Here is a 17692-nt window from a genome sequence, read left to right on the forward strand (position 1 = left end):
TTCAGCCTTAAAAAGGAAGGAAATTCTGACACATGTTGCAGCATGAGATGAACCTTGAGGACATTGTGCTAAGTGAATAAGCCAGTCACAAAATGACAAATACTGTAGAATTCCACTTACGTGATGGACCTAGAGTAGTCAGATTTATACAGAGAGAAAACAGAATGGTGGTTACCAGGGTCTGCGGAAAGAGGAGAATAGGGAGTTATTGTTTAATAAGTAGAGTTTCAGTTTTGTAAGATGAAAAGAGTTCTGGAGACGGATGGTGGTTAGGATTGCACAACAATGTGAATGCTTCATGCCACTGAACTGTATACTAAAAATGGCTAAGGTGGTAAATGTTATGTGCATTTTGCCACAGTTAAGAAATACATTTTTTGGCCAGGCTCAGTGGCTCACGCCTGTAATCCCAGCACTTTGGGAGGCCGAGGCGGGTGGATCACGAGGTCAGGAGATCAAGGCCATCCTGGCCAACATGGTGAAACCCTGTCTCTACTAAAAATACAAAAATTAGCTGGGTGTAGTGGTGCGCAACTGTAATGCCAGCTACTCAGGAGGCTGAGGCAGGAGAATCACTTGAACCAGGGAGTTGGAGGTTGCAGTGAGCTGAGATGGTGCCACTGCACCCCAGCTTGACAACAGAGCGAGACTCTGTCTCAAAAAAAAAAAAAAAAAAGAAATACATGTATAAGTTACTTTAAATATGTATCCTGCAATTTTAGTTGCTTTTATTCAGAGTGTCAGTCAGGGTACCCAGTCCACTCAAGCTGGAAATAAGATGCTGTCCATGCATGTTAAAAGTGATCCTTAATAGTTCCTTAAATGTAGCCCTCTTGCTAATCTGGAGGCTGCTGAGGAATTCTATCTTGGATAGCATGGTCCTTGCCCATGGCAGTACTGGTGCCGAAGGAGTGACATGTAAACCTCTGATTAGGAGCTTTAGGACCCAGTCAAGAGCCCATTTAGCACAGACTGATGTTAACATAGGCACTGACATGCCACATTGATTGGCTCCTCTGTCAGAAACACAGCTTGCAGAATCCAGTCCAGCACTCAAATGAGGCACCTGTCATTAAAGAGGCCTTGGGCACCAGCTCTGTAGTTAAGGTCACAAGTGCCTTTTTAATCTCTGCCAAGGTATAATTTGGAATCCTATATCTGACCATGTCATTGCCTCAAAAAACTCTGAATTCTCCAAACTCCACCAAAGCTTCTTCTAGGCTTAAATTCTGAAATGAAGGATCCTCAGGTTGTGATGGCTCTAATTGCTAAAAGGTGGCCTGTTCACGACATTCTTGTGATTTACATTTTTAAATACCCTCTCCTTTCATTAGGTGGGGATTTATCTGTCATTAGCATCCATTGTTACCACAGGAAATGACCTGGCCTTGGGCCCTCCACACAGGAAACTGTGGGAACCTGGGCTGGCTCCAGTGCTCATGTGTTGGCTCCAATCCAACACTCCAATCCAATTCAGTGACTCTTTGTTTTAAAGGGAAAGTATTTTATTTTCATGCCACCTTTTCCTTAGATAATTAGAAAGTTATCTTGGGGCAAAAATGTTGAGGTAATTAACATGATGGACTTGAAAGCAACATTTTAAAGCACAGAGCATAGTTGTCATCATTATGTAAGCATTTTTTATATCTTGCATTCTTAGGCTTTGCTTCTGGAATTGAAGGGGCACACCACCTGCCCGTTTACCACCCTAGAAATCATTGATTGCAAGATGGATCTGTGGTCTCTAGAGCGACTTGGGAAGGCTCTGCGGTTCAGTAGTTTGCATTCTCTTGTCCTCGATTACTGCAAGTAGGGCTGGAATTCCTGCAGGGCTCTTACAGCTGTCAGCTGGGGGAAGCAAAGATGGGGAGGGTTGGGGGGGTTGCATGTCCAGTTTCCTTGCACCTTATCAAGGCATGGCTGAAGAGGACCCTCTAAAACCTTAGAGTTAATGTTTCTGAGTAAATATTAGAGTTCTCAAGAAGAGTCACTTTCATTTATTTATTCTTTCAACAGATATTTGTTGAAGGCTAGTTTATGCAAGATATTGTGCTCAGTGCTAAGAAAGATACAAATATAGAAGGCAATGCTGCTGTTCCAAGGTGTCCTTGGTACAGTAGAGAAGAGATGCTCTTAATGCAAGGTAGAAAATCTGAAGACCACAAAAGATGTCCATGTATATTATTTTGGTAGTTTGGACAAGGGAAACCACAATTCCCTAGGTGACGGGTCAATATTCACCAGATGAGGAGGTAGAAAGAAAGGTGTGGTGGGCTGGGCACAGTGGCCCTCACCTGTAATCCCAGCATTCTGAGAGGCTGAGATGGGAGGATCACTTGAGCTGAGGTGGGGGATGAAAGCTGCGGTGAGCCGAGATCATATCACTGCATTCCAGCCTGAGTGACAGAGCAAGACTCTGTCTCAAAAAGAAAACAGAAGAGAGAAAGAAAGAGGAAGGAAGGAGGGGAGGAAGGAAGGAGGGAAGGAAGGAAGGAAGAAGGAAGGAAGGGAGGGAGGGAGGGAAAGAGGGAGGGAAAGGTGTGGTGTTGGGGAGGAGTGGAGCAAGTCCTTCAGAGCTGGGGTATCAAGCATGTTAAGGGAATGTCCACAAGATGAGAATAATAATAATATTTCCAGCTAATGGTTAATGAGTGTTTATTGTGTGCCAAACACGATGCAGGAATGAGCTCATTTCTCCTCCCAACAACCTCATGAGCTATGCACCATTACTATCCCTAGACTGTGGATGAGGTCCACAGACTTGTTCAAGGCTATTCAGTCCCCCAGGGATGGAACCTTGATATGGATTCAGGTTGTCTGAATCAGAGCCCACCTCCGATCCATGACACTAGATTGCCCGGGGTCTATAAGTTGCCGTCCACAAACAACTTCAAACTGTGTGTACCATCTGGAGTAAGTCACAGAACCTTTCTGGTCTGTAATGAAATGATCTCCCCCACTCCAGGAGTCTGTGATTCTGTGACTCTTCCCATGCAATTGGGTGGGGCCTTAGACTCAAAAGGCCAGTGGGCTGTGAGGAGAGAGAGGAGATTCGAGCCTGAGAAGTGGTAGCCCAGAGACACAGAACTGGGATCCGGCCAGGGCCCTGGTGGTAAAAGCTGGGGAGAGGGCGTTCTCTGTGGAGGTTCTCAGGGTTTCTGAAATGCTGGGAGGAACGTCAGGCAGGGTCTTGTAACAGGGGGCAGCAGGAGCCCAATGCACACGGGACGCCATGCAGTGACTGTAGGATCTGCTTGCGAGTCCCCCAGTTTCCCACACTATTGGGCAGCACCAGCCCCACTGCTAAGAGACCCCTCCAGGCTCCAGCTCCTGGGAGGGGCACCCAGAGACCTGCACTGGTGGGAAGAGAGAAGGAAGAAAGAAGGAATTCTCTTCTTCAGCAGACAACTTGTTGTAATAGTCAGATGACATACTGCCACCGACGCCAGGACACCTAGTGTTGTCAGGCTCGCCTAGCTGGGAATCACCACCCGAGACCTTAACACTGGTAACACTGCAGGATACTGGCCTCTGGGGGTTGCAGTTCTCTCCTCACTGTCTCCACTGAGGCTGTGAGGTCCATCAGACAGTCCTTTCTCACACAAGCTGCATCCCCATGCCCACCTTGGTAGGTGGCTCAGGGAAGGCCCTCAGTCATTACTTGTTCATGAATTGATACATGTTAAAAGTTATTTCTGTTCATCTCACCCACCTCATTTTAAGGTTCAAGCTTTGACATTCCAAATTCCTTAAAGATGTTGCTTTCCTTCACCAAGCCTCGGTTTCCTGACCCATGGCTTTTACCATTACCTCCCCGCAGAGGCTGTGGTTGAGGCACAAGATTTCACTTTGCAAAGTAAAGCCTGCAATGCAAGAGGAGGGAACAGCCCTGCTGGGAGTCTCTAGGACTCCACCTGTCTCTGCCCTTCTCTGTAGCTCTTCTCTCTGGGGTTTAGAGTTTGTTCTCCATCCGCTGCCCGGATTGGGTAGTTCCAACCATCTTCTGCTCCCTTTACCCAGGAGGCAGACTTCCGGCCCTTTCCCTCATGCCCAGGCTACCCACTATGGCCAACCCAGCCCACCCGCATAGCCAGCCCTGGCCCTGGAAGCTCAAATTAGGGATCAGCAGAAATGCCGCTAATTATCCTGGAAAGGGCTTTACAATTAGTAATCCAGTGAGTGGCACAGGTTTGTTTGGTTTTTTTTTTTGTTTTTGAGATGGAGTCTCACTCTGTCGCCCAGGCTGGAGTGCAGTGGCACGATCTCGGCTCACTGCATGCTCCGCCTACCGGGTTCACACCATTCTCCTGCCTCAGCCTCCTGAGTAGCTGGGACTACAGGCACCCGCCACCACGCCCAGCTAATTTTTTTTGTATTTTTAGTAGAGATGGGGTTTCACCGTGTTAGCCAGGATGGTCTTGATCTCCTGACCTCGTGATCCACCCACCTCGGCCTCCCAAAGTGTTGGGATTACAGGCATGAGCCACCGCGCCCGGCCCCACAGGTTTTAAAAGCCACTAATTTGGCCGGGCACGGTGGCTCATGCCTGTAATCCCAACACTTTGGAAGGCCAAGGCGGGCAGATCACCTGAGGTCAGGAGTTCGAGACCAGCCTGACCAACACGGTGAAACCCTGTCTCCACTTAATATACAAAAATTAGCCAGGTGTGGTGGCATGTGCCTGTAATCGTTGGTGAATTTCAGAGCAAGACTCTCTCAAAAAAAGAAAAAGAAAAAGAAAAAAAGTCACTAATTTGTTTCTATTGTGAAAATTGTCAGATTAAAGTGGAGTCACTTGTGTTGAACAACAACAACAAGAAAACCTGACAAACAGAGCCAGGGAAGGCCATGAAAGAAGGGCTCTCATGCATAAATGCCTGGTAACAAGAACTATCACAAAAGACCCTGTAGCAACCACAGCCTTGCACAAGGCCATCATAACCTTACACAAAAAAATACTTCTACAAGGACATCTACCCAGCAACTGTCCAACCTTAGTCTGGTGCCACCCTTGTTATTGATCCTTGTAGTCAAGGATAATTATCTGAAAACAATGATGTAATCCTCCTCACTTTTCATTGAAAGACCTTTGTCTTCCTCTTCCTCCCTGAATATGTGCATAGTTTACCATGGCCTGTGTATTCCCATTCCCATTGCAATTCTGGTTCTGAATAAACAGGCTCCTTTTAGAGAGCTTCTCTGTTATTTAAGTTGACACTGTCATTTCTTTTTAGATTTGGAAATGAAGAACTTGAGAGCATTTTCTCAGGCCTGGAGAACAACCAAAGGCTTCAAGGCCTCAGTCTGCGTTACTGTGGTCTGGGACCTCAGAGCGGGCTAAGGCTGGGTTCGGTCATCAGCCAGAGTGCCATTTGGTGAGACGTGTCCCCCACTGCCCCCTTCTAATCTTGGCTCTATTCTGTCTTGAGTTATACAATCTGTTATAATTCTAATAATCTCTTCTCCACTCTTGTTATTTTTGCTTGCCTTTTCTTAACCATAAGAGAAGGTCCTTTAGTTGAGTTTGAAAATCAGTGGTGTCACACTGAATGCAGGTGTTTGACCAGCTGACATGGTCACTAGGTCTATTTTTTATGACATGGCCTATTATTAATTAATTATGGTTATTCCTTATTATTTTATGACTAGGTATATTATTTCATCAGATGAAAACCTTAAATCCAATTTTTTTTTTTTTGAGACGGAGTCTTGCTCTGTCACCCAGGCTGGAGTGCAGTAGCACAATCTCAGCTCACTGCAAGCTCCGCCTCCCGGGTTCATGGCATTCTGATGCCTCAGCCTCCCCAGCAGCTGGGACTACAGGTGCCCGCCACCACGCCCGGCTAATTTTTTTGTATTTTTAGTTGAGATGGGGTTTCACCATGTTAGCCAGGATGGTCTCTATCTCCTGACCTTGTGATCCGCCTGCCTTGGCCTCCCAAAGTGCTGGGATTACAGGCGTGAGCCACCGTGCCCAGCCCTTAAATCCAAATTTGAGGAAGTAGAACTAACATAAAATAAACAGTGTATTCTGCTCCCTTCCCCAGCGAGCTGTTCCTTGATGGCAATTACTTGGAATGTTCCGGAGCACTGGCTCTTCTCAGGCCCATAGCAGGCTTTGCGGAGACACAGGGGGAAGACCAGCCAGCCCCAGGCTCACCAGACACTGGAAATCCCCCTCAGCGGCTCCAAGGTAAGTGCTGAGGAACTTGGCACTAAAATCCTGTTGGTGCCACCTAAAAGGAGGACGCTTTGCTCTGTGATTAAAAGTGACCTTCTCAGTGGTCAAGTGTGATTCTTCTTCTTGAATATGTGTGGGAGACAAAATAATGGCTCCCAAAGATGTCTTTGCCCTAATCTTCAGAACCTGTGAATATGTCACTTCACATGGCAAAAGGGACTCTGCCTGTGTGAGTTAAGGATGAGAGAGGGAGATCATCTTGGATCATCCTCGTGGGTCCAGTGTAATCACGAGGATCATGATAGGAGGGAGGCAGGAGAGTCAGAGAAGATGTGACCATGGAAGCAGAGGTTAGAGTGATGTGAGGAAGGGGCCAGGAGCTGGGGTACGTAGGTGGCCTCTACAAGGTGGAAAAGGCAAGTAAACTAATTTTCCCCAGGGCCTTTAAAGGAATACAGCTCTGCTGACACCTTGACTTTCACCTTTAAGACCTATTTCAGAGTTCAGAACTCCAGAACTATAGGATCAGAAACTTGTATTGTTTTAAGGCACTAAGTGTGTGGTCATTTGCAACAGCAGCAATAGAAAACTACTATAGTGTGTTAATCAGATTCTTTAGGTTAAAAGTGAAAGCAACCAAACAGGATTAAAGACCAGTATGGGTTTATAGGCTGACATAACTGGGACATCCATGGGTACAGCTGTCTTCAAAGATGATCGAATTCAGGGGCTCAAAACACCCCACCAGGAGACCCAGAATTTGCTGCTCTTGACTCTACTTCCCTTCCAAGGGTTGGCCTTTCTCCCTCCGGCTGCAGCCAGGCTTTCTCCAAGCAGGAAAAGACAGCTGATGTGCCTGCCAACAGTCCCAGGGCTACATCATCATGACTGTAATCAAACAGAAAGTGAAAGCTTCTTTCTTCCAATGACTATGTGTCAAATCCCATACGGAGATTCTGATTGACCCTCCTTGGGTCACATACTGACCTCTTGGCCCAATCTCAGGTCAGAGCGAAATGTGATTGGCCAGGACGCATCCCACGCCCATCCTGGAGGGTAGAGCACTGTGACGGGCAGCCCTGCCAGCACCACTGGATTTGCAGTGGGGAATTGGCAGTCCCCCAAAGAGTAGGCAGATGGGAGGACAAATGCAGGACAGACAAGAACAACAGCTGCTTACTCCCCTGTAAATGGCTTTCCATAGCTGACATTTAACTTCAGCCGACAGCCACATATTAGACAGTAGGGTGAGGAGTAGATGGGAAAGAGAGGCTAAATCTGGCAACCCTATTCCATTCCCATCACGTGTGAACAAGGTTTCTCAGCATTTCAACTATAACAATGAAAAATGGAAATAGAATTGATGCTGAACTCTGCCTCATGCTAGCAGTAATATTCAATGAATACATGAATTCATTATAAAAACAAATAAATAAAACTGCACTATCCATCTCACTGAGCAATGCATTCAAAAAATTTATTTTTCTATGTAATTAGAATCAATTACATACTTCTAAAAATTGATGAAAAACTGGAGAAGAAACTTTTTTTTTTTTTTTGAGACAGGGTTTCACTCCATCACCCAGGCTGGTGTGCAGTGGTGTGATCTTGGCTCACCACAACCTCTGCCTCCCAGGTTCAAGCAGTTCTCCTGCCTCAGCCTCCGGAGTAGCTGAGATTATAGGTGCAGGCCACCATCATACCCAGCTAATTTTTGTATTTTTAGCAGAGACAGGGTTTCTCTACGCTGGCTGAGCTGGTCTCAAACTCCTGGATGGCAGCGATCCACCCATCTCAGCCTCCCAAAGTTGGGATTACAAGTGTGAGCCACCGCGCCCAGCCTGATCCCAAGAAATTTTGAAATTTGAGTATTTGTACATGTAACATTTTTATTACAAAGAAGTATAACAGGATTAGCTATAAAATCTTTTTTTTTTTTTTTTTTTTGAGATGGAGTCTTGCTCTGTCGCCCAGGCTGGAATGCAGTGGCATGATCTCGGCTCACTGCAAGCTCCACCTTCTGGGTTCACACCATTCTCCTGCCTCAGCCTCCCAAGTAGCTGGGACTACAGGCGCCCCCCACCACGCCAGGCTAATTTTTTGTATTTTTAGTAGAGATGGGGTTTCACCGTGTCAGCCAGGATGGTCTCGAGCTCCTGACCTCGTGATCCACCTACCTCGGCCTCCCAAAGTGCTGGGATTTCAGGCATGAGCCACCGCACCTGGCCTATAAAATACTTTTTAATACAAGATTTTACAGAATAAATAGAATGGAAATATATGTAAAACACAAGAAGAAAAGGGAATAATGTAAAAATGTCAATTGCTAAAGAAGAGTTTGCTCATGTTTTCTGTTGTTGCGATATTCTGGTAAGTGATGGCGAGTATCAAATGGTTTGGTTTATATTCCATTTGATACACTTAAGGGAATGATATAGCAGATTTTATTTTTAAATGTCACTATTTGCCATAATCTAAAAATCTCTTTTGAAAATTTAAAAGTGATGATGAACTGGGCCCGGTGGTTCATGCCTGTAATCCCTGCACTTTGGGAGGCTGAGGCAAGCGGATCACCTGAGGCCGGGAGTTCAAGACCAGCCTGATCAACGTGGAGAAACCCCAACTCTACTAAAAGTATAAAATTAGCTGGGTGTGGTGGCTCATGCCTGTAATCCCAGCTACTTGGGAGGCTGAGGCAGGAGAATCACTTGAACCTGGGAGGCAGAGGTTGTGGTGAGCCAAGATCGTGCCATTGCACTCCAGCCTGGGCAACAAGAGCGAAACTCCGTCTCAAAAAAAAAAAAAAAAAAAGTGACGTTGAAAATCTTAGATACTAACCTAAAAATGTGCAAGATGGTCCATAAACTTTTTAATATTCCTCTATGTTGTTATGGGAACAAAAATGTTTGAGACCACTGCTTTTTGAGGACCAAATGTTTGATCTCCTGTTCTGTGAGCTACTCCCAGGCCTCTCGGTAACTCTTCCTTCTGGCCAGAGTCAGCCACAGGGGCTTTCAGTTGATGACAACCAAAGGGGCCCAAATGCCTTAGGACCCAATGACAAGTTTGTTTTCTTAATCATAATTACTTGTTATAGTGTAGAAATACAATTTTATTTGCTGTTTTTTGTTTTGTTTTGGTTGGTTTGAGATGGAGTCTCACTTTGTCACCCAAGCTGGAGTGCAGTTGGGCGATCTCGGCTCACTGCAATCTCCACCTCCTGGGTTCAAGCTATTCTCTGGCCTCAGCTTCCCAAGTAGCTGGGATTATAGGCATAAGCCACCATGCCCGGCTAATTTTTATATTTTTTTAGTAGAGGTGGGCTTTCGCCATGTTGGCCAGGCTGATCTCAAACTCCTGACCTCAAATGATCCACCTGTTTTGGCCTCCCAAAGTGCTGGGATCACAGGCTTGAGCTACTGTGCCTGGCCTAAAATACTTTTTAATACAAGATTTTGCAGAATTAGTAGAATTGAAATATAAGTAATATGTCAATTTTTACATTATTCCCTTTTCTTCTTGTGGGCAGGAAAGGGTGCGGGTGGGCAGGGAGGCCTGTTGGGTGGCTGTTGACCTCTAGGAGAGAGCTGTCTACCCAGGTGAGACAAGGGCAATAGCGGGGAAGGCAGCGAGAAGCAGTCAGACTCTGCATTATCCCACTTCCTAACGGATTGGATGTAGGGTACAAGAGAAAGGAAGAGTCCAGAATGACTCCAGAGTGATATGTTCTAATATGTTGCTTTAAACATGCCAAAAAAGAGTTCCTCCCTGCTACATTCTTACTAATTCCAGGGCTTTGGAGTCACTTTTATAGACGGCAGCTTTGAAACATAAAGAAGAAGCAACACGAGGCTGGCAGGATGGTTCTTGGAGCTCTACTTGGTTGCATGTTCACCCTGAGACTTTAAGGAAAGAAACACAAAAACCACAGGACCCAGCTGGGTGCAGTGGCTCACACCAGTAATCCCAGCACTTTAGGAGGCCAAGGCAGGCAGATCACTTGAGGTCAGGAGTTTGAGACCAGCCCGGCCAACATGATGAAACCCCGTCTCTACTAAAAATACAAAAAATTAGCCGAGTGGGGTGGTGCACACCTGTAATTCCAGCTACTCTGGAGGTTAAGGTGGGAGGATCACTTGAACCCAGGAGGCGAGGGTGCAGTGAGCCGAGATGGTGCCATTGCACTCCAGCCTGGGCGACAGGGCAAGACTCCATCTCAAAAAAAAAAAAAAAAAAAAAAACCACAGGACTGAACTGAAGTGAATGTGATCTTGACAAGCGGCCAGATCATTCTCTTTTGTGAGAAATATCTCTGCCTAAAGTGAACATAAAATAAAGGCCATAACCAACATCAAGGTGTGTCAGAAACCCATTCATTTGACTTTGAACAGGCTACTTTTTAAAAAGTCTTTTTTTTTTCAACCAGCCAAACAGAGAGGAAGTTCAACTATGAACCAGATTACAAAATCGTCTGAAGCTGTAACAGTGAAAACTACTTCAGGGAAGAAAAAGAGAAAAAAAGGTATTTTTTCTGTTGTCGTTTCAACTGTTCCTTCCACTTCCCTCATCTTCTAAATCACTTCCTTCTTTCATGAGCTGTGTGTTCCACTACTAAGTAGTTGCACCAAACAGAGAAAAACTCAAGTGGAGAAAAAAGAACACTCAATGTCTTGTGACTTCATGTAAACCAAACACCAAATGGCTTTGCCACGGCCATCAGAGGAATTCATCTTTGACATATTCAACACTCCAAAAAAAAAAAAAGAGTAATGGGGCCTCAGCTGGTTTGGGAATATCTCTGCAATGAACAGCCTGTGGAATCTGATCAATTCAGCTCACAGACTTCCATCCTATGATTTTTACTTAGAATCAGCAACTGTGTAATCTAGAAGGAATTTGAAGAAATCAACAACTCCGTAACCTCTGAACTGGGTTAGACTATATGAGAAGCTATCTAAGTATTAAAGATGGGCAGCTAAGCATTAGGGACCCAGATTCTATCCCTGACACTTCCACTAATGTCTGGCTCTCAGAATCCTCTTCTGCAAAATGAGAACTTTTCACTCACAGGATCCTAAATTCCACCCCAGCTTTACCATTTTGAAATTCTAAAGAGACAACGCAAGATTATCACTGCGTGGTCATGAACACAGTCTTTGGGAAGCTCCTTGTGGAGGCTAATCTAAATTTGTGTTGTTCTGTTTTAGTCCGTTTCATGTTTTTCTCTACCATGAGTCTGGGGGAGGGCAACTGGCCCTTATAATGAAGCTTGTCACCTTTTGGCTTTCTCTTCTTCAATATTCATCTGTTTTTCTGCAGTCGTTTTCTGTCCTGGAAATTATCCTTATAACTCCTCCATGAAATATCATTGAATTAGAAAATTACAAATTCTTATGATCCAAAATGTCAAATGAAAATGTAAAGTAAGAAAATTCATCAGACTGGCCAGGTGTGGTGGCTCAAGCCTATAATCCCAGCACTTTGGGAGGCCGAAGCAGGCAGATAACCTGAGGTCAGGAGTTCGAGACCAGCTTGGCCAACATGGTGAAACCCCTTCTCTACTAAAAAAAATACAAAAAAAATTAGCTGGGCATAGTGGCAGGTGCCTGTAATCCCAGTGACTCAGGAGGCTGAGGTAGGAGAATCGCTTGAACCCAGGAGGGAGAGGTTGCAGTGAGCCAAGATTGCACCATTGCACTCCAGCCTGGATGACAAGAGCAAAACTCTATCTCAAAAAAAAAAAAAAAGAAAATTCATCAGACTGTCTCTGTTATCTGATATTGGCTAATAAAGGCTATTAATATAGCTTTTCCACTGGGCAGAGCTAGTTTTGGAAAGTCTATTAAAGGAAGGAAAAAAAAGAATCAAGTGAGGTTATCATTTGTTTTTGACAGTGTCTTAGTCAGTTTGGGCTGCTAGAATAGAATACAATAAAGTGAGTGGCTCAAATAGCAAACATTTATTCCCCACAGTTCTGCAGGCTGAGAAGTCCAAGATGAAGGCACTAGAGGATTCAATGTCTGGAGAGGGCTGCTTCATAGATGGCCATTTTTTTCCAGTGTTCTCTCATGGTGGGAAGAAGGCTAGAGAGCTCCCTGGGATCTCTTTCCTAAAAGTACTGTGAACCCAGGAAATCTGAGACAGGTCTCAGTTAATTTAGAAAGTTTATTTTGCCAACACTTGGGTAGGTAGTGGAAAATTACAGTCAAAGGGGGTTGTTCTCTTGTGGGCAAGGGCGAGGGTCACAAGGTGCTCAGTTGGGGAGCTTCTGAGCCAGGAGTAGGAATTTCACAAGGTAATGTCATCAGTTACAGCAGGAACCGGCCATTTTCACTTCTTAGAAGGAGCATTTGTCATATAGAATGATTGGTGATGGCCTGGATACAGTTTTGTATGAATTGAGAAACTAAACGGAAGACACAAGGTCCAAATAAGAGAGGGAGAAAAACAGGTATTAAAGGATTAAGAATTGGGAGGACCCAGGACATTCAATTAGAGAGTGCCCAAGGGGGTTCAGCATAATTACTTGCTTGGTTGGCGAGTTTTTGGGCTTTATCCTTCAGTTTTTTATGTTGTCATATATCAGGCCAGATTGATTTAGGTAAAAACAACACTCTTCATTTACAAATATGCAGCGTCCTCCTTTTTCAGCAGTGAGTAAGTCGAGGCCTATTCCTGTCTTCTTATATTCATAATAAAAAAAACAAAACAAAATAGTATTGAAGTGCTGGTGTCATGAGGGGAACAGGAAGCTGTTTGGTCCTATTTGCAAATTGAATTTTGTGAGTAAGGAAAAGTAGTGTGCATGTGCCTGTCCAATTAGCAGGTAAACACATGTAGGTGGAGGATCCACAGAGGAAGAAGAGACCTTTTGTAAGGCAAAACTGGAAATGTAAAGTGAAAAGATGAGGAGAAAAATTGATCTTGAGGGACAGAAGTTGGAAGGCTAGCTGCTTCTTTAGTTACCTTATTAGCATAAGCGTTGCCTTGAGCAATGGGATCTGATGCCTTTTGATGGCCCTTGCATGAATGACCCTAGCTTCCTTGCAAGTAGAGCAGCTTTAAGAAGAGTTTTTATTAAGGAGGCATTAATGATGAAGGACCCTTGTGTAGTGAGGAAATTTCTTTCTGCCCATATAACAGCATGGTGGTGCAGGATATGGAAGGCATATTTAGAGTCAGTGTAAATATTGACACATAGTCCCTTTGCAAGAGTGAGGGCCTGAGTTAAGGCAATGAGTTCGGCTTGCTGAGAGGTAGTGGAGCGGGGCAGAGCAGTAGCCTCAAGGATAGATGTGGAAGATACTATAGCATAGCCTGCCTTTGCTGGTGAGTGGCGAATGGGCCTGGAAGAACTATCATCAATAAACCAAGTGTGGTCTGGGTGGGGAACAGAAAAGAGGGAAATATGGGGAAATGGGGAGAATGAATCATTTAGTTAGGAAGGCAAAACCAGGTATCCAAAGGTGAAAGTACCTAACCATGTGTAGGAAGGAAAGGAGTTGTTTTGTAGAAGGAGTTGGGGTTTGGAAGATTAGCCAGACATGATCAGCAGGGAGAGAACCTGTGTTTTTATGAAGAATTATGCCAAGATAGGTAATGGATGAGGAAGAAATTTGGGCTTGACTGAAGTAATGGGGGCTGTCCCTGAAACCTTGCAGCAGTACAGCCCAGGTAAGTTGCTGAGGCTGATGGGTGTCAGGGTCAGTCCAAGTGAAAGTGAAGAGAGGCTGGGATGAAGGGTGCAAAGGAACAGTAAAGAAAGCATGTTTGAGATTCAAAACAAAATAATGGGTTATGGAGGGGAGGTATTGAGGATAGGAGAGTATATGGGTTTGGCACCATGGAGTGGATAGGCAAGACAATTTGGTTGATAAGGTGCAGATCCTGAACTAACCTGTAAGACTTGTCCAGTTTTTGGACAGGTAAAATGGGGGAATTGTAAGGAGAGTTTATAGGCTTTAGAAACCCATGCTGTAGCAGGCAAGTGATAACAGGCTTTAACCTTTTTAAAGCCTGCTGTGGGATGGGATATTGGCGTTGAGTGGGGTAAGGGTGATTAGGTTTTAATGGGATGATAAGGGGTGCATGATTGGTCATCAAGGTAGGTGTAGAGGTATCTTATATTTGTGGATTAAGCTAGGGAGACACAAGGGGAGGCTGCGAAGGAGGCTTTGAACTGGGGAAAAGGGGAGCAATGAGGTGTGGCTGTAGCCCAGGAATAGTGAGGGAAGCAGATAATTTAGGTAAAATGTCTCAACCTGATAAGGGAGCTGGGCAGGTGGGGATAATTAAAAAGAAGTGCATAAAAGAATGCTGTCCAAGTTGGCATCAGAGTTGGGGAGTTTTAAGAGGCTTAGAAGCCCGGCCGTCAGTACCCACAACAGTTATGGAGGCAAGAGAAACAGGCCCTTGAAAAGAAGGTAATGTGGAGTGGGTAGCCTCTGTATTAATTAAGAAGGGGACGGACTTACCCTCCACTGTAAGAGCTATCCATGATGGTCCAGGAGGATTTTTAGGTAATCAGGCAGCATCAGTCTTCAGCCACTAAGCCTAGAAGATCTGGGAAGGAGTTAGTCAGAGAGCTTTGGGCCAGAGTTCCAGGGGCTCTGGGAGTGGCTGCCAGGTGAGTTGGACAGTCTGATTTCCAGTGGGGTCCCACACAGATGGGACATGGCTTAGGAGGAATCCCAGGCTGTGGGCATTCCTTGGCCCAGTGGCCAGATTTCCAGCACTTGAAGCAAGATCCTGGGGGAGGAGGTCCTGGAGGAATGCCTGGCCGCTGCAGTTCAGGCATTTTGAAGTTCTTCTGTGCTGGAGATGTGGCTGGGGTTTCTCTCACAGCGGAGGCAAGTAATTGCAACTCTTCTCTATTATTGTCCACCTTGAAAGCGAGGTTAATTAAGTCCTGTTATGGGGTTTGAGGGCTGGAATCTAATTTTTAGAGCTTTTTCTAATGTCAAAAGCAGATTGGGTAATACAATGTATATTGAGAATAAGACAGCCTTTTGGCCCTTCTGGGTCTAGGGCGGTAAAGGGTCCGAGGGCTGTTGCCAAATGGGCCATGAACTGGGCTGGGTTTTTATATTTGATGAAAAAGAGCCTAAATGTTAACTGATTTGGGAGAGGTCGGATAAAGAAGAAGGAGCACTAACCTTGACTATGCCTTCAGCTCCAGCTACCTCTTTAAGAGGAAATTGTTGGGCAGGTCGGGGAGGGCTAGTCATGGAATGAAACTGTAAGCCAGACAGGGTGTGAGGAGGGGAGGTGATAAAAGGATTATAGGGTCAGGGAGTGGAGGCTGAGGAAGAATTGGGACCTGGCTCGGCCTGGCAAGGAGCAGTCTGGGGAGGAGGGAAGAGGTCAGATGGGTCCGTAGAAAAGGAAAATTGAAAAGACTCAGCAATGCTTGGGGTTGGGACTGAAGGGACAGGAGGGAGGGAAAGAAGGAAGATTTGGGATGAGTCGCATTGGCAACAGAGACTAGGGAGGAGCCGACGTATAAAAGAATGCCTGGACATCAGGCACTTCAGACCATTTGCCCATTTTACGACAAGAATTATCTAGATCTTGTAGGATGGAGAAATTGAAAGTGCCATTTTCTAGCTATTTGGAGTCATTGTCAAGTTTGTATTGGGGTCAAGTGGTATTGTAGAAGAAAATAAGGCATTTAGGTTTTAGGTCAGGTGTGAGTTGAAGAGGTTTTAAGTTCTTGAGAACACAGGCTAAGGGAGAAGAAGGAGGAATGGAGGATGGAAGGTTGCCCATAGTGAAGGAGGCAAGCCCAGAGAAAAGAGAGGGTAGAGACACGGAGGGTGGGGGTACTTGCCCCCAGGGGAGGTGGTGCTTTCCACCAAGGTGAAGGATAAAGGCAGGCATCCCCACAGTGATCAGACACCTCTGAAATGTGGGTGAATAATCAAGCAGGCATCCCTGCAGTGATTAAACACCAAGGGAAGACTGTCTTCCAGAGTCGGTGACTGACGCCAGAGTTCACAGCTAAAATGTGTCTCCTCTGTCTCTACCAGAAATGGAAAGGAACTGAAATTAAGGGAAGGGAGAGATGGAAGGGTGGTGCCAAAATTGAAAGGAGAAAGAGGTTGAGGGATAGTGAGACAGGTTGGAGAAGAGAATAAAAAGAGGCTGCTTACCCGATTTAAAATTGGTGAGATGTTCCTTGGGCTGGTTGGTCTGAGGACCCGAGGTCGTAGGTGGATCTTTCTCATGGAGCAAAGAGCAGGAGGACAGGGGATTGATCTCCCAAGGGTGGTCCCCTGATCTGAGTCACCAAATGTCATGTGCGTTTGTGTGAAGAGACCACCAACAGGCTTTGTGTGAGGAATAAAGCTTTTTAATCATCTGGGTGCTGGTGGGTTGAGTCTGAAAAGAGAGTCAGTAAAGGGAGTTAGAGGTGGGACAGTTTTATAGGATTTGGGTAGCTTGGGCTCAGAGGCCTGACAAGGCCCAAGTTACAACAGTCCTTTCAGCTACTAATACTCCATTACAGACGGAGGAGGCAGCCCTGAGCTTACAAAATGATGGGTTTATATGGGGGAGAGAAACCCTGGGGTTGTTTGTTGGTTAACTCTGCCACATATCACCTTGTGATGTTTATGGTACTGGAGGGTGTAGGTAAAGTTTGTTTATGCTTTCCATGACCTCCCGCTGTGTGGTCCGGATGGTTTATAACCGGGGTTTGCTTTATAGCAGTAAGACGTGATAGGTAAAGTCTGCTGGCTTCACCGTGGTGCCTAGATAAGGGCTTAGAAATGTAAAAAGGCCTGTGGGGAGGGGATTGGTGTTGGCAATACCAAGAAGCTTTTTTTGGGGCAGTTTGTCTCTAACATTCCAGCCTTTTAATAGGTAATAGAAGAGGGACGCCATTGTCGTTTGGCTACTTCCTGCTGGGAAGGGGTGACGGTTATGGGGAAAGGCTGGACGGTAGGGACTGCTGTTCTTGGAGCTGTTGGTATTCCTGGAGCAGCATCATATTTTGTATTGTCCAGCGGGTGAAGGCTCTGATACGGTCCTGTAAAAACTGGGTTAGAAGTCATAGGAGACTTGAGCTGAATGCTGGAAAGAGAAGAATGGTTATGGCTGGGCCTAGGAGGGGCGTTAGCCATGGAAACCAGGTGCTAAAGGACCAGGAGGGCCACGCTGGCCACTGGGGGACATTTTTCTTAATTTTTTGTGTTCAGTCCTTTAGTCTTTTTACAGCATCTTGTACTAAGCCAGATTGATTAAGATAAAAGCAACACTGTTTATCTAGAAAAAGGTAGAATCCTCCTTTTTTGGCTGTGAGTAAGTTTAAGCCTCTGTGGTTTTGAAGAACTACCACTGCTAAAGAATCTATTTGTGATTGGAGAGTTGTAATGGATTTGGCTATGTCTGCCAAGTTATTTGTGAGGTCTTTGGAGAGGGATTGGTAATAGAAAACGGAGGTGGCTAATCTCGCAATCACAGTTCCAACTTCTGTAGTTATTCCAAGGGCTACTAACAGAGGTGTGAGTT

The 17692-nt window shown here is 45.4% G+C and overlaps 1 pseudogene across 1 annotated transcript in view, besides 1 other annotated feature; it reads left to right on the top strand.

Moving 5' to 3' along the window:
* The window catches only part of LRRC78P (leucine rich repeat containing 78, pseudogene), a 57876-nt pseudogene that overhangs the window by 16626 nt on the left and 23558 nt on the right, over positions 1 to 17692 (top strand). Inside the window, exons 3-6 of the transcript NR_136190.1 lie at positions 1661 to 1809; positions 5235 to 5375; positions 6048 to 6193; positions 10608 to 10703. The product of NR_136190.1 is annotated as a leucine rich repeat containing 78, pseudogene (transcript). The remainder of the gene's footprint in view (positions 1 to 1660; positions 1810 to 5234; positions 5376 to 6047; positions 6194 to 10607; positions 10704 to 17692) is intronic.
* Positions 6822 to 7031: an enhancer, noted in NCBI's record as "active region_20633". NCBI's record gives its function as "activates an Ori minimal core promoter by ATAC-STARR-seq in GM12878 lymphoblastoid cells {active_cell/tissue: GM12878}" and the evidence as "EXISTENCE:reporter gene assay evidence [ECO:0000049][PMID:35858748]".

This window comes from Homo sapiens, chromosome 3, assembly GCF_000001405.40.
Source record: "Homo sapiens chromosome 3, GRCh38.p14 Primary Assembly".
In the NCBI taxonomy this organism is placed as follows: domain Eukaryota; kingdom Metazoa; phylum Chordata; class Mammalia; order Primates; family Hominidae; genus Homo; species Homo sapiens.